This window comes from Homo sapiens, chromosome 11 (genome assembly GCF_000001405.40).
Source record: "Homo sapiens chromosome 11, GRCh38.p14 Primary Assembly".
NCBI classification, from domain to species: Eukaryota; Metazoa; Chordata; class Mammalia; order Primates; family Hominidae; genus Homo; species Homo sapiens.
Genome location: NC_000011.10, coordinates 116,835,142 through 116,861,123, shown reverse-complemented (window position 1 = coordinate 116,861,123; position 25,982 = coordinate 116,835,142). Strand labels below are relative to the sequence as shown.

The window sequence follows — 25,982 nt, the reverse complement described above, 5'->3', positions numbered from 1 at the left end:
TCCTGGTTCCATCAGTTTCTTAGCTGTAAACCCTTGGGTAAGTTAACTTGACTTCTTGAATTAGTCCATTTCACACTGCTCTAAAGAACTGACTGAGACTGGGTAATTGATAAAGGAAAGAGGTTTAATTGACTCACAGTTCCACATGGCTGGGGAGGCCTCAGAAAACTTACAACCATGGCAGAAGGAGAAGCAAGGCTCATCTTCCATGGTGGCAGGAGAGAGATTGCACAGGGGAAAGCGCCAGAAACTTATCAGACAACCAGATCTCAAGAATTCCCTCATTATCATGAGAACAGCATGGAGGAAACTGCCCCGTGATCCAGTCGCCTCCCACCAGGTCCCTCCCTTGACACATGGGGACTACACTTCAAGATGTGGGTACACACAGAGCCAAACCATATTACTTCTCAAATGTCAACTGAGGATAATTATGGTACAGTATGTAGATATACGTAAAACACTTGGAACAGTCTCTGGCACAAAATAGTTCTCAATAAAGGTTTACTATTATTAATATTTTTAACAAAACCTCCAGCCCTACCAAATAAAAAGCAGCTACCAGAACCTTCCTTATAGACATGCCTCCGTTTGGCTGTCTACTATACACGTGGGCCCCTCTCTTGTGGGTGTACAGATGGGAGTGAAGATAAGTATAATGTGACTGTGAGTCTTCAGAGGTCAGCCGTCTTAGGATCTCTTGAGTAACACTCCACGAGCTACGTCCCTAGTCAGTCTCCCTAGGATCCTTGAGAAGAGTCTGAATTGGCCTCTAGGCTCTTCCTACTTAAAGTGGGGTCCCCCAGCCACCAATATTGGGAGAAAAAGTAAGATCTCAGGTCGTATTCCAGACCTGTTAGAGTCTGTTTTTTTTTTTTTTGAGATGGAGTCTCCCCCTGTCACCCAGGCTGGAGTGCAGTGGTATGATCTCGGCTCACTGCAACCTCCACCTCCGGGTTCAAATGATTCTCCTGCCTCAGCCTCCCAAGTAGCTGGGATTACAGGCGCCCGCCACCACACCCAGCTAATTTTTGTATTTTTAGTAGAGACAGGGTTTCGCCATGGTGGCCAGGCTGGTCTCGAACTCCTGACCTCATGATCCGCCCACCTCGGCCTCCCAAGTGCTGGGATTACAGGTGTGAGCCACCACGCCCGGCCTAGAGTCTGCATTTTTAACCAGATGCCAGGCCATTTGTGTGCATGTGAAAGTTCAAGAAGCACTGCCTAGATCCGAGTTACCCCATGTAATCCATGGACCAGCTTTTAAGGGAACTTGTTGGAAACACAAATTCTTAGGGGCCCATCCTGACCTACTGAATCAGAGTTTGAAACAGAATTATATAGATAGGACCCAGGAATCTTCTGTTTAACAAGTTCTCCAGACTTGTCCTATGCTCAGTGCAGTTTGAGAAGCACTGTTCTAGCTGGTATGTCGTCTGAGTATTCTCATTAGCTCTCATTACTTCTGGCTGGCTGGTGGCCTGGGCACTTGGTCACTCTGAGGTTCCTTTCTCTCCAGGGGCTGCATCTTCTTCCCAGTTTCAAGGCTTACCTTCCCGCAGTGCAATCTTTCAGCAGCAACCTGAGAACTGTTCCTCTCCTCCCAACGTGGCACTAACCTGCTTGGGTATGCAGCAGCCTGCTCAGTCACAGCAGGTCACCATCCAAGTCCAAGAGCCTGTTGACATGCTCAGCAACATGCCAGGCACAGCTGCAGGCTCCAGTGGGCGCGGCATCTCCATCAGCCCCAGTGCTGGTCAGATGCAGATGCAGCACCGTACCAACCTGATGGCCACCCTCAGCTATGGGCACCGTCCCTTGTCCAAGCAGCTGAGTGCTGACAGTGCAGAGGCTCACAGGTAAGACCGCCTAACGTCACCCAGCCATCTATGCATGGGATCCAGGTGGGAGGAAGCCCCTTAGCAGAGTGAGAGAAAAGGAGGGAAGGAGAATGGGTCTGACTAGGCTGTGCTCTTGTTTCACGCTTTCTAAAATCAGGATGCTGGGTTTGGAATGAACTTGTCAGCTTTTTATTGACCCAGGGTTAAAATTCTAATGAGACTGAGGTGGAAAATGGGAAAGCTACCTTATTATTTGCTACCTTATTATTTGCTTGCAAAGAAGAAAATGGCCTGTTAGAGGAATGTATAAAAATTCCAGTTCCCCTTTTCTTGAAGGGAGCATCTTGAAGTTGCTTCCTTCAAAATGAGCTAGATCTATTACCCACGCAGTGCCCTCAGTCCCTTGGAGGTTACTGGACAAGCCAGTAATGGAATAAATAGGGACAATGCATACATCTGCCACTTCTCTGTCACACCACAGTTCTCTGTACCAGTGGGTTCTCCCTACTGAGGAGGAGGAGCTGTTCCCAGGAAGTCTAGTACTTGTTACATGGATGTCTGGTACTCCCTTTTGTGTCTGCAGCTTGAACGTGAATCGGTTCTCCCCTGCTAACTACGACCAGGCGCATTTACACCCCCATCTGTTTTCGGACCAGTCCCGGGGTTCCCCCAGCAGCTACAGCCCTTCAACAGGAGTGGGGTTCTCTCCAACCCAAGCCCTGAAAGTCCCTCCACTTGACCAATTCCCCACCTTCCCTCCCAGTGCACATCAGCAGCCGCCACACTATACCACGTCGGCACTACAGCAGGCCCTGCTGTCTCCCACGCCGCCAGACTATACAAGACACCAGCAGGTACCCCACATCCTTCAAGGACTGCTTTCTCCCCGGCATTCGCTCACCGGCCACTCGGACATCCGGCTGCCCCCAACAGAGTTTGCACAGCTCATTAAAAGGCAGCAGCAACAACGGCAGCAGCAGCAGCAACAGCAGCAACAGCAAGAATACCAGGAACTGTTCAGGCACATGAACCAAGGGGATGCGGGGAGTCTGGCTCCCAGCCTTGGGGGACAGAGCATGACAGAGCGCCAGGCTTTATCTTATCAAAATGCTGACTCTTATCACCATCACACCAGCCCCCAGCATCTGCTACAAATCAGGGCACAAGAATGTGTCTCACAGGCTTCCTCACCCACCCCGCCCCACGGGTATGCTCACCAGCCGGCACTGATGCATTCAGAGAGCATGGAGGAGGACTGCTCGTGTGAGGGGGCCAAGGATGGCTTCCAAGACAGTAAGAGTTCAAGTACATTGACCAAAGGTTGCCATGACAGCCCTCTGCTCTTGAGTACCGGTGGACCTGGGGACCCTGAATCTTTGCTAGGAACTGTGAGTCATGCCCAAGAATTGGGGATACATCCCTATGGTCATCAGCCAACTGCTGCATTCAGTAAAAATAAGGTGCCCAGCAGAGGTAAGTGTCTCCTCACAGTGGAAGTCCTGGGCCAGTCTGCCCTAATCAACTGACTCAGTAATGTTATCTTTTTTCAGCTAGTATTCTGTGTTCCTAAGAAAAAAAGAATTTCTGAGCTTCACGACCTTCTTGGGGAGAAGCATGTAGGAAGTGGGTATTGGTGGGCAAGGGGTCCATTTTCAAAATCAAAGGACCATGATACAAAATTAACACTTAGTCAATAAGATAGATGATCCATTTCCCTTATTCATACCACAGTTTCTTGGAATCCAGAAATTCCTGACTGCCATCCAAACAGCTAACTTTAAACTTGTGCAATAGAAAAAAAGTCAGCCCAACATAATTTAGTGTAAATAGTGTGGGAACAAGAGTCAGAGCACCTTAATTCTGCTCTTGCAGCTATCATAAATACGATAACTTTGTCATTTAATCCCTCTGATTCTGATTTTCCTCATCTGTGAAGAAGGTGTTGGAGGAACAATGGAGTATCTTACGGTGTATCTGTGGAGATGAAAACATGTATATATGTGTTTGTTTCTACATAATGTTTGCATGAGAGAGAGAGGCACATTCAGATCATCTGAAATGTTTGAGTTCAGTGCATAAATGTGAGGTATTATTACTCTGGTCGTTTTATTAGTGAGCTAAATGCAGAATATTACAGCATCATAAGGGCCCCCATTATCATTTCATTTTGTACCACTTTATAATTAATGAGTATATTCATTATCATTCTGAAGGAGATCAGGATTGCAATTAGTAAGTTATACTTAGAAAATATAGTTCCATTAGCATCACGGCATTCATCCTAGACAAAATCAGGAATCTTGCAATTTACCACTCCTCACCATTGCCATCCAAGGGAATAAAAAGCAATTTATCTGTAAACTGTACAACCCTGAGACTGAGCAGTTTCTTCCATCCTTCCCTCCCCGGAACTACCTGCATCTCCTGCCCTGTCATTTAAAGTCAGTGCTGAAAACTCAGCCCCAGGGGGAATTCGGTCCTGCAGCACAGAGCAGTAGAGAAGGCCTTGCTGTAAAGCGGTGTCTGTGAAAACGCCTTGGTGGTGCCAGGTTGTACTCATTATGCGCTCTTAGGGGGGAATTGTTGCCTGAAATGCCAATTCAATCCTGACCTTTTGAACAGATGGGTGTCATCCAGCTGAGAGATTGGCTCCAGTGAGATGTACTGTGTTCACCTGTGGCTGCTGTATTCTTAGTAGACATAGGAGGGTGGGAGCTTTCAGAACCAGATCATAGGTGGAATGGTTAACAGACCTGAGGGTGTTTAGGATTGGGAGGAAAAACTAAGAGAAACATCACGCTTGTTAGATGGAAGAAGGGATTAGATTTTTCTGGGTTCATATTATGGGGCAGAACCAAGATCAAGATAGAAGTTGCAGCAAATTTCAACACCCTGTGGAAGACCTTTATAAGAACTCTCCAGAACAGGCTGCCTTAGCAGCCTGGGAGCTTTCTAACAGAGGTGGGATAATGGTATGGGGATGTTGTGGAAAAGATTCCCCTGCAAATGGAAGCTTCCAGCAGATTAGCACACTATAGTTGGCATGAAAAGGAGATGAGCTCACGTTTCTTTTTTTTTTTTTTTTTGAGACGGAGTCTTGCTCTGTCACCCAGGCTGGAGTGCAGTGGTGCGATCTCAGCTCACTGCAAGCTCTGCCTACAATGCTCACGCCATTCTCCTGCCTCAGCCTCCCGAGTAGCTGGGACTACATGTGCCCGCCACCACGCCCGGCTAATTTTTTGTATTTTTAGTAGAGACAGGGTTTCACCGTGTTAGCCAGGATGGTCTCGATCTCCTGACCTCGTGATCCGCACGCCTTGGCCTCCCAAAGTGCTGGGATTACAGGCATGAGCCACCGCGCCCGGCTGAGCTCACATGTGCCAGGCACCAAATGCTGTTCACATACGGATTCATTTAATCCTTACAACAACCCTACAACCCTAGAATAACCAACTCTTATTCCCATTTACCAGTGAAACAGCGGAGGCACAGAGATTAAGTAACTTGTCCCCAAAGTCAAGAGGTAGTCAGGGGCAGCTGAACATAAGAGTACTCACACTAGCTGTCACTGACACGAGAGATGCTCACCGAGCAAGTCCCGGGTGTGCAGGGCACTGAGGAAGGAGCATAGCTGCAGCAAACAGTGCTGCTGCCCTCCACCCCTGCCCCAGGCTGAGTTACCGTGTACTTTCAATACTTCCTGAAATGTTTTTCTTCAAAAATTATTTTCTCTAGTTTCTCTTTACCTTCCTTCCTGTGTGACTTGTGTGTGTAGAAAGTCTGGAGAGCATAATTCCCCATTGTCCCCTGATTGTCAGAGGACCCCTTCTTCGGCAGGCACGCTAGTCTGTTGAGTACCCACTGTTGGTGCAAGTGCTGTGGGCGCACCAGAGGAGGGAGAGATTACTTCAATCCAAGGAACAACGTAGGTTTCCAGCAATAAGTAGCCTGTGGGTTGGGTCCTGGTGGATGAAGAAGGTTTGCCATTTGGATCTAGAGGAGAAGCAAGAGAAAAGAACAATGGGTGAGACTGTCTCAAGGAATTTTCCAAGGACAGCAGCAGGCTTGGCTGGTTTGAAGTACAGTGTACATGAAGGCATTAGTAGAAGCTAAGGACAGAGGTTTTCTAAAATGCATCGTCTAGATTCAGCTGTACTGTGAAAAAAACTCAAGTTTTTTTTTTTTTTTTTTTTTTTTTTGGCAGAGTCTCACACTGTCACCCATGCTGGAGTGCAGTGGCACGATCTCGGCTCACTGCAACCTACCCCTCCTGGGTTCAAGCGATTCTCCTGCCTCAGCCTCCTAAGTAGCTAGGATTACAGGTGTGCACTACCGCACCCGGCTAATTTTTTTTTGTAGAGACGGGGTTTCACCATGTTGGCCAGGCTGGTCTTGAACTCCTGACTTCAAGTGATCCAACCACCTCGGCCTCACAAAGTGCTGGGATTACAGGCATGAGCCACCATGCCTGGCTTTCAGGTTTCTTTTAAAAACTCCAGAGCTTACATTTTTACTTTACTGAAAAAATCATCAGATAATTTGCTGTTCACTTCTGTCACGAAAGGCTTATAATGCTGTGCCCCCACCACTCTGCAGGCAAGTGGGGGAGCTCACTCTTCTCAACCTTTTTGCCAGGAAGGAATGCCTGCTGTTTCTTTTAATGGTCCCTCCATCTCAACTGTGTTGCACAAGACTCTACTGTAGGTGCTGTGAGAATGCAGAGATGAAAGGATAACCTGTCCTCAGGGAGCTTCTACTCTACTAGGGGATGTAAAACAAGCTCATAAACAGCTTTGCTATGAAGTGCTAGGTACTGAGTGCTGCAAGAAGTATCACTGAGAAGAGCAGAGCTAGTGTGATCTTCTTAGCATTTCTTAAGGGTAGATGAACAGGGATTGTTGGTGTTATTTAGTTACTTTTTGAGTCAGGGTCTTGCTCTGTCACCTAGGCTAGAGTGCAGTGGTGCAACCACGGTTCACTGCAGCCTCGACCTCCTGGGCTCAAGCAGTCCTCCCACCTCAACCTCCTGAGCAGCTGGGACTACAGGCGCGTGCCACTACACCCAGCTAATTTTTTTTTTCCTTTGGTATAGATGGGGTCTTGCTATGTCGCCGGGGCTGATCTTGAACTCCTGGGCTCAAACAATCCTCCCTTCTTGGCCTCCCAAAATGCTGGTATTACAGGCATGAGCCACCACACCCAGCCATATTGGTATTAGTAAAGGAAAATTAGATGCCATCATATCAGTGTCCATGGTTACCTATTTCCTTGATGGCGATTTGCCACCAGCCAGTATGAGGCCAGGCACTGTGAGAGCACTAAGCAGGCAGCATGCCAAAGGTTTCTTCCCAATTTGTAGAAGTGTCAGGATTTCACATGCCCCATGCTGTCCGTAATCTCCCTGCCTGCCACCCTAGAAGGAAAAACAAGGTTTGTCTTTCTTCTATAGTGGTACACACACTTGATCTTTTTGACTTTGCAAATAAACACAGCAGCATAACCAATCTACACCATGAGATTACCAACTGGAACTCACAAAGAAAACCACATCCTCTTCTCTGAGCTCAGTCAGCCTCAGCTTTATTACTCAGGCCTCATAGAGCAGTAAAATGCTGACAGAGTGGGAGGGGTTACCCCAGAACCTTTAAGGGGAGTATGCAGTCACGTTATTGCTCCCATTTTCTCTCAAAACCCAGTAAGTGAGTCAGGACGAGTCAACATTGACAGATTCAATAGAGAATTGTGCAGGTTGCCCCAAAGTTCCCCGGGAAGGTGGGTGGCGTGCATTGTGTCCATTTGTGCACTTTTCCCCTTGTGTGATCGGACGATCATCCCACCTCTGCACTCTCTTAGCTTTAGTTTGATAAATATTCGAGCATGTAGCTCTTGGGAACCATCTTTCCTCCATGACTTTGGTAGCTGCTGAATTGGCATAAAGGGTTGCCAAAGATTTGATCCTGAATGTCATGTTCCTTGGGCAGTGGGTTAGTCTGTTTGTACCCCCCAAAATGGTCGATAGGGTCTTATTTATAGAGTGTCACAAAGGACTTCTAGACTCAGGGTCAGCATTCTTACCAAAAATCAGACTTGACTTATTTGGTCTTTTACAGTTGATTAAAGACTCTTTCACATGTGTTGTCTTTTCGAGCCCCCAAACAACCGTCATTTTTCAGATCAGGAACCTTGAGGAGAAGCTGAAAGATTTGCCAACACTTTGCTGGTGAGGGAGCTGGGTCCTGACTTCAAGTTTTCTGATCCCCTGGTCATGTATTTTTTCCTTTACGCCTCCTTGCCCACTCTGCACCCTCCAAGCACAGCTGCCAAGTGAAAGATGCTAGCCCTTCCAGGTCTTTGACCTACTGATGATACTGAAACTTGAGCAGACAGAGCCCTGGGGTATCCCCTGACTCCTATTAATACTCTTTTTCATCTGGCTTTTAACTGACATTTGTCTGTCCTGAATCAGAGGCTTCTCCTGGAAATTAAAGTTTCCCTGAGTCATTTGTTCATTTACATATGGGTATATTGTCCCTCATAATTCTGCAAGCAGGGTTCTGTGATTAAATCAATTTCCTTGTTTGTTTTTGTCAGCTGACTCAGCACGTCCTTATGCACTCAGAAATAACATCTCTAAACTGAATATAAATCATGCTAGACTTTATTGAGCCTTTACAGTGTAGTAACCTCTATGAAGCACTCCACACCCATGGAGTCAGTCCAGTTGTACAGATAACTAAGACCCAGCAAAGCAAGATAACTTGCCCGAGCTCCTGCTCCTCAGGAAGCAGCTAAGCCAGGATTCACGGCCAACTCTTCCTGACCCCAGAACTTGTGCTCATGACCCTTGTGCTCAACTCCAGCTTGGCTGAGGGATGAGCTCTGGGCTGGGAGTCAGGAAGGCCCCCTACATGATTTGTCAGGTGGTTGCTTGCTCTGTCTTGGTGCCTACAGGCATCAGACCTGAAGGCGGGGAAGACAGCAGACAAGGCAGAGCCCAAAGGAGGGTGGGTGTTTTGGTTTGCAGAGGCCCCATTCTCAGGGATAAAAACAAGTCTGAGAGAGGGAAGGAAAAGAGCCTTAAAAGACACAGCAAACAAACCAAAACACTGAGGCCTCCAGAAGAGGCAGGAAGGCTCCAACCAGGACTATATACATTTTGTTAGCTTTGCTGTTTCCTCATGGTTAGTAATGATGTTTTAAAAATCTTTAAACAGGAGAGCGCTCATGTTTGTCCTTGCGGAGAGCAAAGAGATGCAACTGATGAGATTTGCATCCAACTATATAATCAGGCTTAAAGGAAAAAAGCACCCCGAGGAATTGAGTGGATGATGTTAGTTATCAAAGAAGACAATATAGGTTTTTGAAAAAGTAAGAAGCGGCTGCTCGCATTGCTTCTTGGCAAAGCAGACAGAATCACCATTTCCTCACTCCCACACAACCATGTTGCCCCACTTCCTGCCAGTGGTTTTTGGTTGGCCCTGGCGCCAACATGCGAGCAGTGCCCACTGAGAGGAATTGGGCAGAGTGGGTAGGACGGGCGGGCTAATCCCACAGAGCAAGTCCTGGTGTAGGTTTTCTTTTATCTTCTCTCTGCTGGCTTTTAGCTTTCTGTAGCAAAATAGTTGGCTTCTGGCTGTTCCTTTTACCTCTTTGCTCAGAGAACTTTCAAAAGATTTCTCACTTGCCATCATCTTTGGTAGCTGGGAAGCTCCCTCCTCTAATTTTTCTCCAGAATGTCTTGCATTACTAGCAATGGGCATGTCAGTTAGCTCCCCTCCCTTTCCATCCTGCCTCTGCCCCTAAGTCCCAGCCTAACCTTAATCATTATAGAAAACCATTGAAATACAGAGACCTGAAATCCTTTACCCAACATTCAAGAAGTATGCTTTACTTTCATTATTTAAATAGATCATTGGAATGGCACAGTTAGCATTACAGCTGTGTTTGCTATTAAGAGCTTTTGTTTTAAACTTAGTCCCACCAAGAGTCAGTTCATCCAAGATAAGCTCAGTAGTTTCCAAGAAGCTTTAACTCAGAAAACCAACCAAGCAAACACAACTTATTTTCAAGTCCCAGGCTTTTAAAGACTGAAGTCAAAAGTGCTACCAGGAGGATCCTGTCAACATAGGTGTGGCTTTGATAGTCTTCTTGACTATCCTTGATCAAGAAGAAGTACTCATTCCTTTTTCTCTCCAATTCTAGTCCATAGAATGGTATGCTCTGACAGGATAGTAACCCATATTAAGAGAGTATTTATTTTTATTATTCTTTTTTGAGATAGAGTCTCACTCTGTTGCCCAGGCTGGAGTGCAGTGGCATGGTCTTGGCTCACTGCAATCTCTGCCTTCTGAGTTCAAGCAATTCCCCTGCCTCAGCCTCCTGAGTAGCTGGGACTACAGGTGCACACCACCACACCCAGCTAATTTTTGTAATTTTAGTAGAGGTGGGGTTTCACCATGTTGGCCAGGCTGGTCTCAAACTCCTGACCTCAGGTGATCCACCCGCCCCGGCCTCCCAAAATGCTGGGATTACACGCACCCGGCCTAAAGAGCATTTACTGACATCAGTGAAAGAGATCATAATACTGGGTATAGGACAATGTTCTAGAACACTGAAGATTCACAGACATACATGAGATATAGTTCTTGCCTGCAAAGAATTTATAGTCTAATGTGAATGATTAAGTACATAATTGAACATGGTACCAAGGATAATGTTAGAGCAATCAGAGACAAAGTCTTTTGAAGTTTAAAGGAAGAGATGATCTATTTCTGTTTGAAAGGAAAAGTTTAATAAAAACAATAGCATATGATAATGGATGTAGAATGATGAGTTGCTTTGGATTGGCAGGAGTGAAGGCAGAAGAATCAGTTATTTGCAGATAGAAGGAACAGTGAGGGCAAATGCATAGAATTGTGCATAGATGGGGAACAGTTAAGTGGTCCCATTTGACTAGAGCTTAGAATGTATGGAGAGGGGAATATGAGACACTGATTGGAAGATAGCCCAGGGCAGTGTTGTAAAATGAAAGTGAATGGACTACAGAACGGTTGGTCTTTGTAGGGTAGTAGTAGGGGATTGGTTATGAGGCTAGCATAATAATCCAGGCAAGAGGTAATCAGGTTTCCATGAGATTGGCAACAAAGGGACTGAAGTGACCAGCATTGCAGAGTTAGATTCAGCACCAGGAGTAAGGAATCAATAGTGGCCCCAAGAGCTTATGCCTGGAAGATTTGGAAAATGAGGCATCAAAACGACAATGTCTGAAGGAGTAGCAGGTTATGGGGGAAGTGGATGGGTTTGGAATTGGACATGGTAAGTGTTACATGCTGGTTAGATATCCAGGGAAAGATACCTAGTAAGTAGCTGGAAGTATGGATCTGGGGCTTAAAGGAGCACTTCAGTAATTCTTTACATAAAGGCAGTACAGCCATGAAAATAGATGATGTTGCCAGAGTAAGTGTGGGGAGAGAGAAGGTCAAGGACAAAAATGTGGAGAGTACTTGCTTAGAAAGGGTGGAGGGGCCATCAAAGGAGTCAGAAGCAGCAGTTAGAGAAGTAGAAAGAGGAGAGTAGCAGCGTGGTACACTGAGGTCACCGGGGGAGGAGAGAGGACGCAGCCAGCCACAGAACAGATGCATCCTCTAGGGCTAGAGGGTCCTGAAAGCTCCGAGAGTAATTCTCATGTGCATTTAGGTTTGGGAATAGATCACTGTTAATTCAACAGAGAAATGAAAGAAGAGAAGGTTCGGTGGGGTCCAGCCATGCCCTGTTACGTGGAATTTTTTCCCTAAGGGTGTGGTCCCCTCCCCTACAGCTCGTCTTTTGGAGGGCTGGTCCAGGCTCCTCTAAGCCATGACGCCGGCTGAGGATCAGCGGTTGGTGTACATGATCTCCTCAGCCTTGCCCATTGTCCCTTGCAAGACATTTCTTGGATGGGAGTTTCCAGTGCTGGGAGAAGTTCCGCCCCACTGACTCTATTCTGCTGTGTCTCCTCAGAGCCTGTCATAGGGAACTGCATGGATAGAAGTTCTCCAGGACAAGCAGTGGAGCTGCCGGATCACAATGGGCTCGGGTACCCAGCACGCCCCTCCGTCCATGAGCACCACAGGCCCCGGGCCCTCCAGAGACACCACACGATCCAGAACAGCGACGATGCTTATGTATGTTGGTCCCACCTGCTGCACAGAGGTGGATCCTCCCAGTCCCAGCCTTGAAACAGAGTATAGTGATGTGGGGTAGCCTCTCTTGGCCGCTCTCCTCAGTCAGCATTCAGCCTTTCTGGAAACGGTGGGGAGCATTTCTTTTTTTTTCTTTTTTGAGATGGAGTCTCACTCTGTCGCCCAGGCGGGAGGACAGTGGCGCGATATCAGCTCACTGCAACTTCTACCTCCCCAGTTCAAGTGACTTTTGTGCCTCAGCTTCCTGAGTAGCTGGGACTACAGGTGCCTGCCACCACACCTGGCTAATTTTTGTATTTTTAGTAGGCATGGGGTTTTACCATGTTGGCTAGGCTGGTCTCGAATTCCTGAGCTCAGGCAATTCGCCTACCTTAAGAGCATTTTCTTTGAGTCACCCTAACAGACCAAACCTTAATTCAAGTAGAATCTATGCTCCAAATTTTAGACCAAAGAATCAGAAATAGTTGCCATCTGTTCCCTGTAGTTTTGGTTATTAAACCTCTTCTCAGTCTAAACTCAGGCCCCAGCAAATGAGCCCATAGGCTTCTGGTTATTTTTCAGCAGCTACATTGAGCTTACTCAGATCAGGGGAGCTGGTGGGCCTCAGCAAAGTTTTGTTTTCCTAGGGTGGTGCTAGTCTAGTAGCTAGCCACATGTGGCTATTCAAATCTAAACCAATTAAAATTAAAAACAATTTAAAATTCAGTTCCTCAGTCACACCAGTTACACTTTATTTTTTATTATTATTATTTTTTGAGACAGAGTCTTGCTCTGTCACCCAGGTTGGAGTGCAGTGGCGCAATCTCGGCTCACTGCAAGCTCCGCCTCCCGGGTTCACGCCATTCTCCTGCCTCAACCTCCCGAGTAGCTGGGACTACAGGCGCCCGCCACCCTTTTTTGTATTTTTAGTAGAGCTAAATTTTTTTAGCCCAGCTAATTTTTCGTATTTTTAGTAGAGACGGGGTTTCACCGTGTTAGCCAGGATGGTCTCGATCTCCTGACCTCATGATCCACCAGCCTCAGCCTCCCAAAGTGCTGGGATTACAGGCATGAGCCACCGTGCCCAGCCCAGTCACACTTTAAGTGCTCAGTAGCCACTTGTGGCTACTGGTTACCATATTGGACAGGACAGAGAACATTTCCATCACTGCAGAGTGTGACTGGACGGTGCTGTCCTAAGACAAAGTCCCAGTGGAGATGGGGATAGGTCAGAAACCTGGTTTTAGAAGGCCATGTAGGTATCAAGATGTCACCACCAGCTGAGATTTGCCACATCCGCCCCACCCTCAGCCCCCCCACTGGGCAGAGCCAAGCAGCTTCCCACACTGTCGCTGTGGAGCACCCCCTTTGGGTGGTGCTTTAGAGGAAGGAGTCTGGAGTGGGGCCCCGGGCTGTCTTTTGCCTGGGCTCCTTCAGAAGGACCAGCTGTCTCTAGGGGTTGCCTGAGAGTGGTGTCTTGTGTGCTTATTTCTTCTCTTAACTGTTTTCTGCAGGTACAGCTGGATAACTTGCCAGGAATGAGTCTCGTGGCTGGGAAAGCACTTAGCTCTGCCCGGATGTCGGATGCAGTTCTCAGTCAGTCTTCGCTCATGGGCAGCCAGCAGTTTCAGGATGGGGAAAATGAGGGTGAGGAGCCTTATGCATGGGGCACTCCAGAGAAGTTCCTGGAGGGGCCTCCCTCCATCTTCCGTAACTGCTCCTCTCTTCGTAGGAAGAGCTCATGGGGAGGTAGAGCCACAGCATCCCACAGGTTCTGGACACAGCCCCTTTCCCCACTGGTCTTCCCTGAGTGTGGGTGTGTAAAGGAGGTGTGGCTTCTGGCCAGATGGCACAGGGCTCTCCCATTCCTGTCTCTCATCTCTGTGATGATATGCCTTCAATCACTTTTTCCAGTTCTGCTTAGAGGGCATCAGGTCCTAATGGCACATTTCTACCTCTTCTTGGAGCCAGTCAAGGGAGGGTGTCATAACAAATAATAGGCGTAGGCCTTGGGCGGGGCAGGTCTGCCACCAGTCCCAAGGCTGTCCTTTTCAGGCTCTGCAGGTGAGGCACTTGGCTTTCTGGACCCCGAGATCCTCATCTGTAAAGTGGCAAAAACGATAGAGCCTTTATCCTACATTGTGCCCTGAGGGCTGGCTGGCTTAGTGAGTATCAAGTGCTTAGCACAGTGTCTGGAAGACAGACAGTGCCCAGGAATGGGTGCCTGCAGGCAGTAAAATTATTCTCCCTTTCACTCTTTAAGAGGTGATCCTTTCTGAAGGAGTCCTCTATCTTCTCTCACACTACAGTAGTTGATCTTACCTAAGGATGGGAAAGGGTAAAGGAAAAGGGAAAAAAGCAGAACAGGTAGAGGAGAATATAGGAAGAATCTTGGCCCCCGCCCATCGTCACTCAACACCTTGAGGGCCTGCTGTGAGCTAGAATTCAGGGCTGGGAGTCAGGCTGTGGGATGCTCGACAGGTTGCCTTCAATTCCTCCTCTCTCTCCCCCTTGCTCTCCTAGTCCCCCAGTTCCCTGCCAACCTCATACGTTCTTTTTGGTCTTGCAGAATGTGGGGCAAGCCTGGGAGGTCATGAGCACCCAGACCTGAGTGATGGCAGCCAGCATTTAAACTCCTCTTGCTATCCATCTACGTGTATTACAGACATTCTGCTCAGCTACAAGCACCCCGAAGTCTCCTTCAGCATGGAGCAGGCAGGCGTGTAACAAGAAACAGAGAGTGAGTGTCACCCTGGCCAGAGCCAAACCAGCCCTGTGGCCCAGTGCCTGCTCCCAATCCCATCAGGAGCTTCAGCCCATGTGTTGTGGTGGCCAGTGCAGTCGACAGTACCACGCCTCCCCTCGTGGCCTTCACAGTTTCTTGCTTTTCATTAACGACGCTGCTAGTTTTAGGGCGCGAGGTAGGGGTGGGGGTGTGCAGAAGAAATGCTAAACACAGTCTCTTGGTTCGGTTATGGGAATAAGACACAAGACTCGCCGTGTGTTACAGGTGCTCTAGCCTTCATAGCGACAGAAGTGAGCTACGGCTCCAGAGGATGCAGGTGACCTCCGGTCAGCATAATGAGGAAAGGAGGAAGTCCTTAAACTCAGTCCTAAAAGACAAAACCTGGCAGGAAAATATGTCCAGCCATATTTTTTAAGGCCATACAGAAGCAAGTGGCAGGATATTCCAGATTAGGGAAATGTGTGATGAGAGGCCCATGGTAGAAAGAATGGGGAAATTGGCTTGTTTGGCTGGAGTAATGCAAAGAGTACACAGCAGGCACCATTGGTTGTATCTGGAAAATCCTTGACAGAAGAGGCCTGATGAAAGGGAAGCCACTTGGCAAATCCACATCAGAGCCTCAGTATGGCAAGCTACCTGAACACCTGAGGGAAAGTAAACCCGTTGCATTTTTTAAAAGGTTTTAAATGGAATATTTGAGCCTTTCTCTTTTCAAACTAATTCTCCTCTGTGTCTGCTTTATTCCAGGTTTTGTGTACAGCTTGGGAATGAAAAGGTTGATTGTAAACCCACAGTATCTAGCAGCGTTGTGCCAAATTGCCCTTGTGTTTCTCTCCACCCAAAATATCACAGCTGCTTTCCTCACATTTGGTTCATCCGTGTGCTGTTCTTTTGGGTTCTGAGAGGGTTTTGCCATGTTTGCTTGTATGACCAAGTCACCAAGGAAATAAACAGGAAGGAAATCCATGTTCTCCATCTTTTGTGAAAGTATATTTGAGTTGGTGGTTTTTTGTTTTGTTTGGGGGTTTGTGTTTTGTTTTGTTTTTGGTATGTTTTCTTCCAGAGGTGATATACTTTCTTTTTTTTCTTCCTTTCTTTTTTTTCTTTCGTTCCTTTTTTGAAACAGGAGAGCAAAGCAGTTAGAGTTCAGAGGCCAGCGGCCTCAGGGCCACTCCCTCCCTAGCCTTCATCAGCAGAGCACCCTCCATCCCCCTGCATTGCTCTTCTGTGAAAGCAAATACTAAAGGATGCCATCCTCTGGAATCCTAATGGCAGGCAAAGGGAGAGAGGAAGGGTGACGGCTTCTGGCACTTAGAAAACAAAAAGAACAAAAAAAGAGAAACCCCCAAGCCTGGAACGCAGAGAGGTCTTTACTGCTGGGATCCACGGAAAACATGTCTGTCCTAGCCAAGATCATATGAAGAGTTTGGCACGGAGGCTGAGAATGACCTGGCATAGATGGTTTGCCAGTTAGGATGTCTCAATTTGAGCCTTTGCTTTTGGTGGATAACTCAGCTCCCCTCTTGTAACCTGGAAAGTTGGTTGCCTTTATCATCCTGCTGGTTTTATCCATGGACTGAACACCCAACAGCAGTGCACTATGCTTTCTATGGCATCTTTCATTCTCATTTTATATTGTGCTATAAAAAGGATTGTTTCTCCATATATATATTATATATGTGTGTATATATATAATATAATATATGTGTATATATATATTATATATATAATATATAATATAATATATTATATATATATTATATATATAATATATATATAAAATATATATATATATGCTCTCCTCTTTCAGCCTCTTTGTCACAGGGAAGAAGTGTAGGAGGTTGCCTTGGGCCCTGCCTCTCTCCTAACCTCCTCTTCCCCACTGGGTACCCTCAGCCCCTATATTTTAATTCTTGATCATGTAGAAATTGTTTTTGGTAAATGTTGATATTATTGTTATTATCATTATTAATAAATAAAGAGAAAAGGAATTTTTGTTTAAATGAGAAATGTTTAACCAGATTCTGTTCTATTTGAATTGTGACTTGCACCTTTTGTTCAAAGTATTTCCTTTAGGCATTGTAATTGTGAACAGCTCTTACTTGTGCCAGTGACAGATGCAGTGGTCTCCTTTCCCCAGTTGAAGCAGTGCATACGCAGTAGCTATTATTTGTGTTATCTTTATTTCTCTTCATTGTTAGAAACCAAAGTCTTCTCTGCTGGCTGGGGCTGAGAGAGGGTCTGGGTTATCTCCTTCTGATCTTCAAAACAAGAGAGAGACCTTGAATACACTGACTCTTCCACCCTTTTTTTTTCTGGGAAAGGAGAGCAAGAGGTCCCGAGTCCCCTCCTAGTCTTTCATCCTGAATTTGCACAGAGGAAAGCGGGTGCCCGGCATGGCCATCCTGATGTTGCTGGCGGGATCCCCATGCACCTTGTCCTTCTCCACTGATACTGGCAGCTCGGCTCCTGGACCCAAGATCCCTTGAGTGGAATTCTGCAGTGCAAGAGCCCTTCGTGGGAGCTGTCCCATGTTTCCATGGTCCCCAGTCTCCCCTCCACTTGGTGGGGTCACCAACTACTCACCAGAAGGGGGCTTACCAAGAAAGCCCTAAAAAGCTGTTGACTTATCTGCGCTTGTTCCAACTCTTATGCCCCCAACCTGCCCTACCACCACCACGCGCTCAGCCTGATGTGTTTACATGGTACTGTATGTATGGGAGAGCAGACTGCACCCTCCAGCAACAACAGATGAAAGCCAGTGAGCCTACTAACCGTGCCATCTTGCAAACTACACTTTAAAAAAAACTCATTGCTTTGTATTGTAGTAACCAATATGTGCAGTATACGTTGAATGTATATGAACATACTTTCCTATTTCTGTTCTTTGAAAATGTCAGAAATATTTTTTTCTTTCTCATTTTATGTTGAACTAAAAAGGATTAAAAAAAAAATCTCCAGACTCAAGTTGCTAAGACCTTTTGTCCTGCCTTTTGTCCTTCCTTTTGTGAGGCACTTACTTACAACTTGGTTACTTAGTTGGACAGCAGGAAGTTGTGTAGATAGGAGCCTGATTGTGTTCTTAGGCTGATAGATTATTTGCCTGTGGTTTGGAGTCTAGTTGGAAGAAGCCTCAGGTAGGTGGGAGCTGGAGCAGTGGAGGCTGGAGAGGTCTCCCAGGCTAAGGGTGGGGCTTTGAGTGACTTAAGAAACTCGCATTCTCTAGAAGCCTGAACTCTGCTTCACACTGTGTCCCTGGGCACCCAGCTCGGACTCTGCCCTGTCAGAAGGGAGCATTTGAATTTGCTGGGCCAGGTGGAAAACAGCTTCCTTGAAAGGGCACTTTTGAAGAGTACAGGGAAGGATCCTTAAAGAGTGGACACAGGCTGGACCCTTCATGACGTGACCCCCATTGGCCGAGTGAAAGGATAGCCAAATAAGTATTTGGAAAGAAAGGGAGGGGCCTGGCATGGCTCACGCCTGTAAATCCAGCACTTCTGGAGGCCGATGGGGGTGGATCATCTGAGGTCAGGAGTTTGAGACCAGCCTGGCCAATGTGGCAAAACCCCGTGTCTACTAAAAATACAAAAATTAGCCAGGTGTGGTGGCAGGTGCCTGTAGTCCCTGCTACTCAGGAGGCTGAGACAGGAGAATGGCTTGAACCCAGGAGGCAGAGGTTACTGCAGCAAGCCAAGATTGCACCACTGCACTCTAGCCTGGGTGACAGCGGGATACTACATCTCAAAAAAAAAAAAAAAGCGGAGCGGGGGTGGAATTTTCCTATAGTTTTCTCCTTTATCCCACACCTGAACTCCAAAGGGCAGGGTAGAGTTTCCAGCAAGTTTCCAGGCATGGCTAAGAGACAGGTGGTTGAAGGTCTTCTATGAAGAAAGCTTACTGAAGCTGGAAAGACCATCTGAGTTCACAGAAGGAAGAATGAGAGGAGGGAATTTAGAAAGCCTTCCAAGCTGGGCATGGTGGCGTGCGCCTGTAATCCCAGCTGCTCAGGAGGCTGAGGCAGGAGAATTAGGTAAACCCAGGAGTTGGAGTCCAACCTGGGCAACATAGCAAGACCCCCACCTCTACAAAAAATAACCAGGCTTGGTGGCACATGCCTGTAGTCCCAGCTGCTCAGGAGGCTGAGGCTGAAGGATCATGTGAGCCTAGGAGTTTGAGGCTGCAGTGAGCTGTGATCGCACCACTGCACTCCTGCAAAGAGAAAAGAAAGATTTCAAGTCCATGAGGGCGGCTAGAAAGTTGCTGTAGGGCCATTTAGATTAGAGAAGAAAAGAGCCTTCTCAAGAAGGGCCTTCTGGCCGGGCGCGGTGGCTCACGCCTGTAATCCCAGCACTTTGGGAGGCCGAGGCGGGTGGATCACGAGGTCAGGAGATCGAGACCATCCCGGCTAAAACGGTGAAACCCCGTCTCTACTAAAAATACAAAAAATTAGCCGGGCGTAGTGGCGGGCGCCTGTAGTCCCAGCTACTTGGGAGGCTGAGGCAGGAGAATGGCGTGAACCCGGGAGGCGGAGCTTGCAGTGAGCCGAGATCCCGCCACTGCACTCCAGCCTGGGCGACAGAGCGAGACTCCGTCTCAAAAAAAAAAAAAAAAAAAAGAAGGGCCTTCTAAAACTCCTCTGAGTCTGTATACGCTGTCATGCAAGACTAGGTGAGTCTCTAGAATCAAACAGTGATAATACCCAGATGCCTTCCAGCAAATTGTAGCACCTGTTGCAATAGGTGCCACTCCCTCCTAAAATCAGCCAGGGTGCCTTTGGACCAGAGGTAGGGTGAGCTTTTGTAGGAAGCAGGGCACTGGCTCCTGGATACAGACTGGAGAGCTTAGCTCCAGAAAACAGGAGCCATGTTGACAGAAAACCGTGCTCTACACAGTTTTCTTTCTGACTTTGTGCCAGCCCCCACCCCACCCCAACTGCAAAGATCAAGAACTCAGAGGGCTACTGTGCTTCCCTCCTGCTGATCAAAGATGAGCTCTGTCCTGGCCTTAGTCTTTTCCAAGCAGGAGGGCAGGAGAGAATCTTGCATAGCTGGCTACGGTGCCCCACCCAAGGGTCTAACTTGGGGCTCTATCACAAAAGCTGCAGCAAAATTGCCAAAAGTAGGAACTACTGGGGGTGGGGGTCCTGTCTCCCCTGCTCAGTCACCACCTCCCCTCCCTAACTCTCATTCTGGCTCATACCACGTGCTCCCAGAAGAAACGTTCTGAGCAGGGGCTGGTATGAGACTGCCTCCCCTCCCAGGACCCACTCCTCCCTATGACCAGGCTGGTGACCCTCCCTCTAGGGTGCCAGTGCCATTCACTGAGCAGATGTTTGGCAGGTGTCTGTTATGTGCCAGACCTAGCAGGGGACAGAGTCCTCCCGATACAGATGGACCAGTATGTTTGGACATAAATTGTGAAAGGAGTTGCTAATCTTTCTGTGCAAAATCCACTCTTGCGGTCACCGCCAACACTCCTACACATGTCAGGGCATCCAGGGCCAGGACTTGGTAACCCTGTTCAGGAGCAGTCGCTCTGGAGACTCCCAAGACGAGGGAAAGAAATGGGTGGAAACAGGGGCCTACACTGTGGGCCCCGCAGCCACCAAACAGTCCAACCCGTGGCCACTGAGTGCCTTGAACAATGCCTGGCTGGACCCTGAGTCTGAGTGTGTCATCAACCCAGTTTGTTATTGTCGTTGTTGTTGTTATGTATTTTTCCATCAGCTCTGTCCAGAAAGACCTCCTTCCTTTCCAAAATATTAGTAAAGGGGGCTTAGACTAGTTTAAGCCAAATACCTTGCAATAAAATGGAGTAGCCACCCTGGTGAATAAGTATATTTAGAAAAGGAAACTGCCTGCTTGGTAAGATGCTGTTCAACAGCACCCCCTATCCTGATGCCTCGCAGTCCCTGAGCCAGGAAACTGAGAAGTCCCTGATCAGACTGCAAAGGCTGCAGGCTCCGCAAGGGTGCAAGGCCACCCTCAAAGAACTAGAAGCCAGGCCTCCCGATTCCCACCCCTGCCAGCGCTAAATAGTAACCGCTGAAGGATGCAGGGCAGCTGTGAGCTGCAGTTTTCCCACAGGCAAAAATCACAAGGGTAAAATCTGGCCTCCAGCCTTATAGGGATATTCTAAGTTGTGAAAGTGCTTTGGCCACAAAGAACTGCGCAAATGTTAAATACTAGGTTTAGCCATAACAATCATTTTAGTAACAAACCAAAGAGAAGGGTGAAACACTGGCAAGTATCTTGGAGTCCAACCAGTAAGCTTCTGAGATTCCCCCATGTGCTGACTGGGACAAACTCTACCCCCCAAAAGAAAAGACGCTCTCTTGGCCCGAGACACCTGTGAGCTGTCCCAGCAGGGGACCAGCCACCTTCCCACTTTCTAAAGCTACAGACAGCTGGGATGGTCAAGTAGGCAGCCCAGGCTGATGGCTCACCAAGGCCACCTCCCTGTCTACACAGTCCCATAGACATCTGGGGCCACTTCAGTCCTAGAAAAGATGTTCCATATCTCAGCAACTGCAAGTCAAGGACAAGCAGAGAGATGTGGGACTGCTGCCTTCATGCCTGCTGCAGAAGCTGAGGTCTCAGATCTGATAAAGCAAGTGTAGTGGGAATAAGGGAATACATTACCAGAAACTGGGATTCTAGAAAACAGAATAGTTACTGTTTACTAAGTGCTAGGTACCTTTCTAACAGTTTTGCATATATGTTCAAAGTTCATGCTTAAAACGATACAAATTTATTATCTTACAGTTATGGAGGACAGAAGTCCAAAATGGGTCATACTGGGCTAAAATCATGGTGGCAGCAGAGCTGTGCTCCTGGAGGCTGCAGGGAAAAATCCTTTGCCTTCTCCAGCTTCTAGGGAAGGGTTGCTCATGTCCCTCAGCTCATGGCCCCCTTCCAGCAGTCACGAGTCTGATCTCCACTGCCATCCTCACATCTCTTTCTCTGACTCTGAGGCCACTGCCTCCCTCTTGTATAATTAAGGACCCCTGTGATGACAATGGGCCCACCTGGAGAATCCAGGCCAACCACCCCATCTCCAGGTCCTTAATCACACTAGCAAAATCTTTTTTTGCCATGGAAGGTAGCAAAGCCACAGGTTCCAGGGATGAGGCTGTGGACATCTTTGGGGAGCGTTATTCTGCTTGCCACACAGTAACCCCTGCCATAACTCAGGGCGATGGCATATTCTATCATTATCTTCAATCAGAAACTGATGTGTGGGGAGGTGATGTATCATAACTCATCCAGGGTCAGGCAGCTGGATTTGAACCTGCCTGACCCTTAGATTTGAGGTTTTCTGGCTCCAGAATCTTCTCTGAAGTGAAAGGCATGAGGCCGACCACTCCCTGATCTGGTAAACAGAGATGTCAGCCTGGTTTCTAGTGTTAGGGAGTTTCCTGGAGTGATGGTACAGGGTACATTTCTGCCCTGCATCCCAAGTCCAGAGACTGGGTTCTAGGTCCAGCCTTTCTTCTAACTCCCTGAGAGATGACAGCCTCTGGGCAAAGTCCCTCTGTGCTCTTCAGTCTCTTCATCTGTGAGATGGTGGCATGGGGAGAGGCTGGAGTGATGTCACAGTTCCTCTCAGCCTGCATCACAGGCTCTAGGACTCAGGTCCTATCAGTAACCTGCTGGGGGAGGTCTGGGCCTTCCAGGAGAAACCTGACAAGATGGTGCTGCAAACACCAACGGACACACAGCACTTTACATTCACAGGCTGTCTCAGGGGCCTCCAACAACCCTGACCATTCTTGCCCCATTTTGCAGATAGAAAACCGAGGCTCAGAGAGATTATATAACTTGCCCACGATCTTCCTCCAGCAAGATGGAGGCCAAGTGAAATGAGAAAGCAGGTCTCCTGCCACTTCCTTTGCCCAGAGGTCTTCTCCCCACACCAGGGCTTCCCAAGGGCTGAGATCCAGTCACACCTGTGCGTGATCAAATATAAGTGTGAACAATGCAAAGGGAGACGTCTTCAATCTAAGGGGCTTCAATTCTGTAATGTAATTCTGAGATTATGCCCTTTTTTGTTAAAGCCTTTCCTTTTTGAAGTGATGGTCACTGTAGATGGTGAGGGTTTTTTGGAGGCGGACAATATCTTTACATGACAAAATTAAAAGTTGGCAGCTCCGAATTGATCTCTGGAGTGTTTTGAAATGCAAGAGGTCTCCGAAACCTCAGTCTGGGAGCCACGGAGGGCTCTCCCCTCTCCCCAGGTTTACCAGTTTGGGAGGCTTGGAGAGAGGCCTGGAGGACCTGCTGGGGACTAAAGAAGAGCACTGGTGGGAGGACAGGGCGGGGGAAGGGGGAGGGGAGTGAAGTAGTCTCCCTGGAATGCTGGTGGTGGGGGAGGCAGTCTCCTTGGTGGAGGAGTCCCAGCGTCCCTCCCCTCCCCTCCTCTGCCAACACAATGGACAATGGCAACTGCCCACACACTCCCATGGAGGGGAAGGGGATGAGTGCAGGGAACCCCGACCCCACCCGGGAGACCTGCAAGCCTGCAGACACTCCCCTCCCGCCCCCACTGAACCCTTGACCCCTGCCCTGCAGCCCCCGCAGCTTGCTGTTTGCCCACTCTATTTGCCCAGCCCCAGGGACAGAGCTGATCCTTGAACTCTTAAGTTCCACATTGCCAGGACCAGTGAGCAGCAACAGGGCCGGGGCTGGGCTTATCAGCCTCCCAGCCCAGACCCTGGCTGCAGACATAAATAGGCCCTGCAAGAGCTGGCTGCTTAGAGACTGCGAGAAGGAGGTGCGTCCTGCTGCCTGCCCCGGTCACTCTGGCTCCCCAGCTCAAGGTTCAGGCCTTGCCCCAGGCCGGGCCTCTGGGTACCTGAGGTCTTCTCCCGCTCTGTGCCCTTCTCCTCACCTGGCTGCAATGAGTGGGGGAGCACGGGGCTTCTGCATGCTGAAGGCACCCCACTCAGCCAGGCCCTTCTTCTCCTCCAGGTCCCCCACGGCCCTTCAGGATGAAAGCTGCGGTGCTGACCTTGGCCGTGCTCTTCCTGACGGGTAGGTGTCCCCTAACCTAGGGAGCCAACCATCGGGGGGCTTTCTCCCTAAATCCCCGTGGCCCACCCTCCTGGGCAGAGGCAGCAGGTTTCTCACTGGCCCCCTCTCCCCCACCTCCAAGCTTGGCCTTTCGGCTCAGATCTCAGCCCACAGCTGGCCTGATCTGGGTCTCCCCTCCCACCCTCAGGGAGCCAGGCTCGGCATTTCTGGCAGCAAGATGAACCCCCCCAGAGCCCCTGGGATCGAGTGAAGGACCTGGCCACTGTGTACGTGGATGTGCTCAAAGACAGCGGCAGAGACTATGTGTCCCAGTTTGAAGGCTCCGCCTTGGGAAAACAGCTAAAGTAAGGACCCAGCCTGGGGTTGAGGGCAGGGGTAGGGGGCAGAGGCCTGTGGGATGATGTTGAAGCCAGACTGGCCGAGTCCTCACCTAATATCTGATGAGCTGGGCCCCACAGATGGTCTGGATGGAGAAACTGGAATGGGATCTCCAGGCAGGGTCACAGCCCATGTCCCCTGCAAAGGACAGACCAGGGCTGCCCGATGCGTGATCACAGAGCCACATTGTGCCTGCAAGTGTAGCAAGCCCCTTTCCCTTCTTCACCACCTCCTCTGCTCCTGCCCAGCAAGACTGTGGGCTGTCTTCGGAGAGGAGAATGCGCTGGAGGCATAGAAGCGAGGTCCTTCAAGGGCCCACTTTGGAGACCAACGTAACTGGGCACTAGTCCCAGCTCTGTCTCCTTTTTAGCTCCTCTCTGTGCCTCGGTCCAGCTGCACAACGGGGCATGGCCTGGCGGGGCAGGGGTGTTGGTTGAGAGTGTACTGGAAATGCTAGGCCACTGCACCTCCGCGGACAGGTGTCACCCAGGGCTCACCCCTGATAGGCTGGGGCGCTGGGAGGCCAGCCCTCAACCCTTCTGTCTCACCCTCCAGCCTAAAGCTCCTTGACAACTGGGACAGCGTGACCTCCACCTTCAGCAAGCTGCGCGAACAGCTCGGCCCTGTGACCCAGGAGTTCTGGGATAACCTGGAAAAGGAGACAGAGGGCCTGAGGCAGGAGATGAGCAAGGATCTGGAGGAGGTGAAGGCCAAGGTGCAGCCCTACCTGGACGACTTCCAGAAGAAGTGGCAGGAGGAGATGGAGCTCTACCGCCAGAAGGTGGAGCCGCTGCGCGCAGAGCTCCAAGAGGGCGCGCGCCAGAAGCTGCACGAGCTGCAAGAGAAGCTGAGCCCACTGGGCGAGGAGATGCGCGACCGCGCGCGCGCCCATGTGGACGCGCTGCGCACGCATCTGGCCCCCTACAGCGACGAGCTGCGCCAGCGCTTGGCCGCGCGCCTTGAGGCTCTCAAGGAGAACGGCGGCGCCAGACTGGCCGAGTACCACGCCAAGGCCACCGAGCATCTGAGCACGCTCAGCGAGAAGGCCAAGCCCGCGCTCGAGGACCTCCGCCAAGGCCTGCTGCCCGTGCTGGAGAGCTTCAAGGTCAGCTTCCTGAGCGCTCTCGAGGAGTACACTAAGAAGCTCAACACCCAGTGAGGCGCCCGCCGCCGCCCCCCTTCCCGGTGCTCAGAATAAACGTTTCCAAAGTGGGAAGCAGCTTCTTTCTTTTGGGAGAATAGAGGGGGGTGCGGGGACATCCGGGGGAGCCCGGGTGGGGCCTTTGGCCCTGGAGCAGGGACTTCCTGCCGGATCTCAACAACTCCGTGCCCAGACTGGACGTCTTAGGGCCAAGATCGACGTTGGAGGACCTGCTGGACGCCTGGCTGCTTACGAGTGAGGGAGTAGAGTCTGCCTTAGCAAGGCTCAAGTAGAAAGGAAGTCACAGCGGACCAGGCAAAGCCACAGACAATCCAAGGCCAGGTGCCCTGAAAGGGGCTCAAACAAGGCCTGCAGCCCTGTCTGAGGCGGGCCAGGAAACAGGGTTGCTTTAGCTGGGAGCAGTGGGTTCCCCGTCCCCAGAGGTGTGTCCGTATAGAGCCTTCTCCAGCCCAGCCGCTGTCAGCGGGGCGGGACGGAGCGGGGCGGCCTCAGGGAGCCAGCCACTGGGATTGGGGTTTGGTCCCGGGTGCAAGTGAAGCGCTTGGAGTTTGCGCCTGTCCTCCTTTACTAATTCAAAAACCTCTCAAACAGACACTTCCCTTTTCTTCTCACAAGGCCAGTATCCCCCTCCCACTACTCCCATCCCGCCCAGAAACAGCCGCG

At 49.3% G+C, this 25,982-nt stretch overlaps 2 protein-coding genes and 1 non-coding gene across 26 annotated transcripts in view, besides 1 other annotated feature; 2 read left to right on the top strand and 1 right to left on the bottom strand.

Annotated features, from left to right (window-relative positions):
• Positions 1-17,722, top strand: part of SIK3 (SIK family kinase 3) — a 255,027-nt gene extending 237,305 nt beyond the window's left edge. For 10 of the 17 annotated variants that reach the window (XM_047426672.1, XM_005271482.5, NM_001366686.3 and 7 more), the window contains 6 exons: positions 1,520-1,859; positions 2,425-3,314; positions 11,841-12,004; positions 13,516-13,648; positions 14,571-14,741; positions 15,495-17,722. In XM_047426672.1, coding sequence (XP_047282628.1) covers positions 1,520-1,859; positions 2,425-3,314; positions 11,841-12,004; positions 13,516-13,648; positions 14,571-14,728 — 1,685 coding nt within the window. In that variant the 3' untranslated portion in view covers positions 14,729-14,741; positions 15,495-17,722. Of the gene's footprint in view, positions 1-1,519; positions 1,860-2,424; positions 3,315-11,840; positions 12,005-13,515; positions 13,649-14,570; positions 14,748-15,494 lie in introns of those variants that run through there. The other 7 variants (XM_017017424.2, XM_005271484.4, XM_011542722.2 and 4 more) reach the window with 4 other exon arrangements.
• On the bottom strand, positions 5,395-25,007 carry APOA1-AS (APOA1 antisense RNA). Its single transcript, NR_126362.1, has 2 exons — positions 24,885-25,007; positions 5,395-5,834 (listed from the first exon to the last, which is right to left on the bottom strand).
• Positions 8,096-8,165: a silencer, noted in NCBI's record as "silent region_3925". NCBI's record gives its function as "represses an Ori minimal core promoter by ATAC-STARR-seq in GM12878 lymphoblastoid cells {active_cell/tissue: GM12878}" and the evidence as "EXISTENCE:reporter gene assay evidence [ECO:0000049][PMID:35858748]".
• Positions 23,502-25,373, top strand: APOA1 (apolipoprotein A1). 8 transcript variants are annotated; one of them, NM_001425093.1, is made up of 5 exons: positions 23,502-23,519; positions 23,717-23,779; positions 23,967-24,123; positions 24,713-24,938; positions 24,984-25,373. In NM_001425093.1, the coding sequence occupies exons 2-5, from the start codon at positions 23,737-23,739 to the stop codon at positions 25,314-25,316; spliced, it is 759 nt and encodes a 252-aa protein (NP_001412022.1). In that variant the 5' UTR covers positions 23,502-23,519; positions 23,717-23,736; the 3' UTR covers positions 25,317-25,373. The 8 variants fall into 8 exon arrangements, with proteins under 8 accessions (NP_001412022.1, NP_001304950.1, NP_001412021.1 ...); NM_001318021.2 differs by having other exon boundaries at positions 24,011-24,123; positions 24,713-25,373; NM_001425092.1 differs by having other exon boundaries at positions 23,975-24,123; positions 24,713-25,373.

Coding starts and splice junctions, on each gene's coding strand:
- APOA1 (NM_000039.3), top strand. CDS start 23,737: ATGAAAGCTGCGGTGCTGACCTTGGCCGTGCTCTTCCTGACGG. Junction 23,780..23,966: donor GGCCGTGCTCTTCCTGACGG/GTAGGTGTCCCC, acceptor TCCCACCCTCAG/GGAGCCAGGCTCGGCATTTC. Junction 24,124..24,712: donor GCCTTGGGAAAACAGCTAAA/GTAAGGACCCAG, acceptor CTCACCCTCCAG/CCTAAAGCTCCTTGACAACT.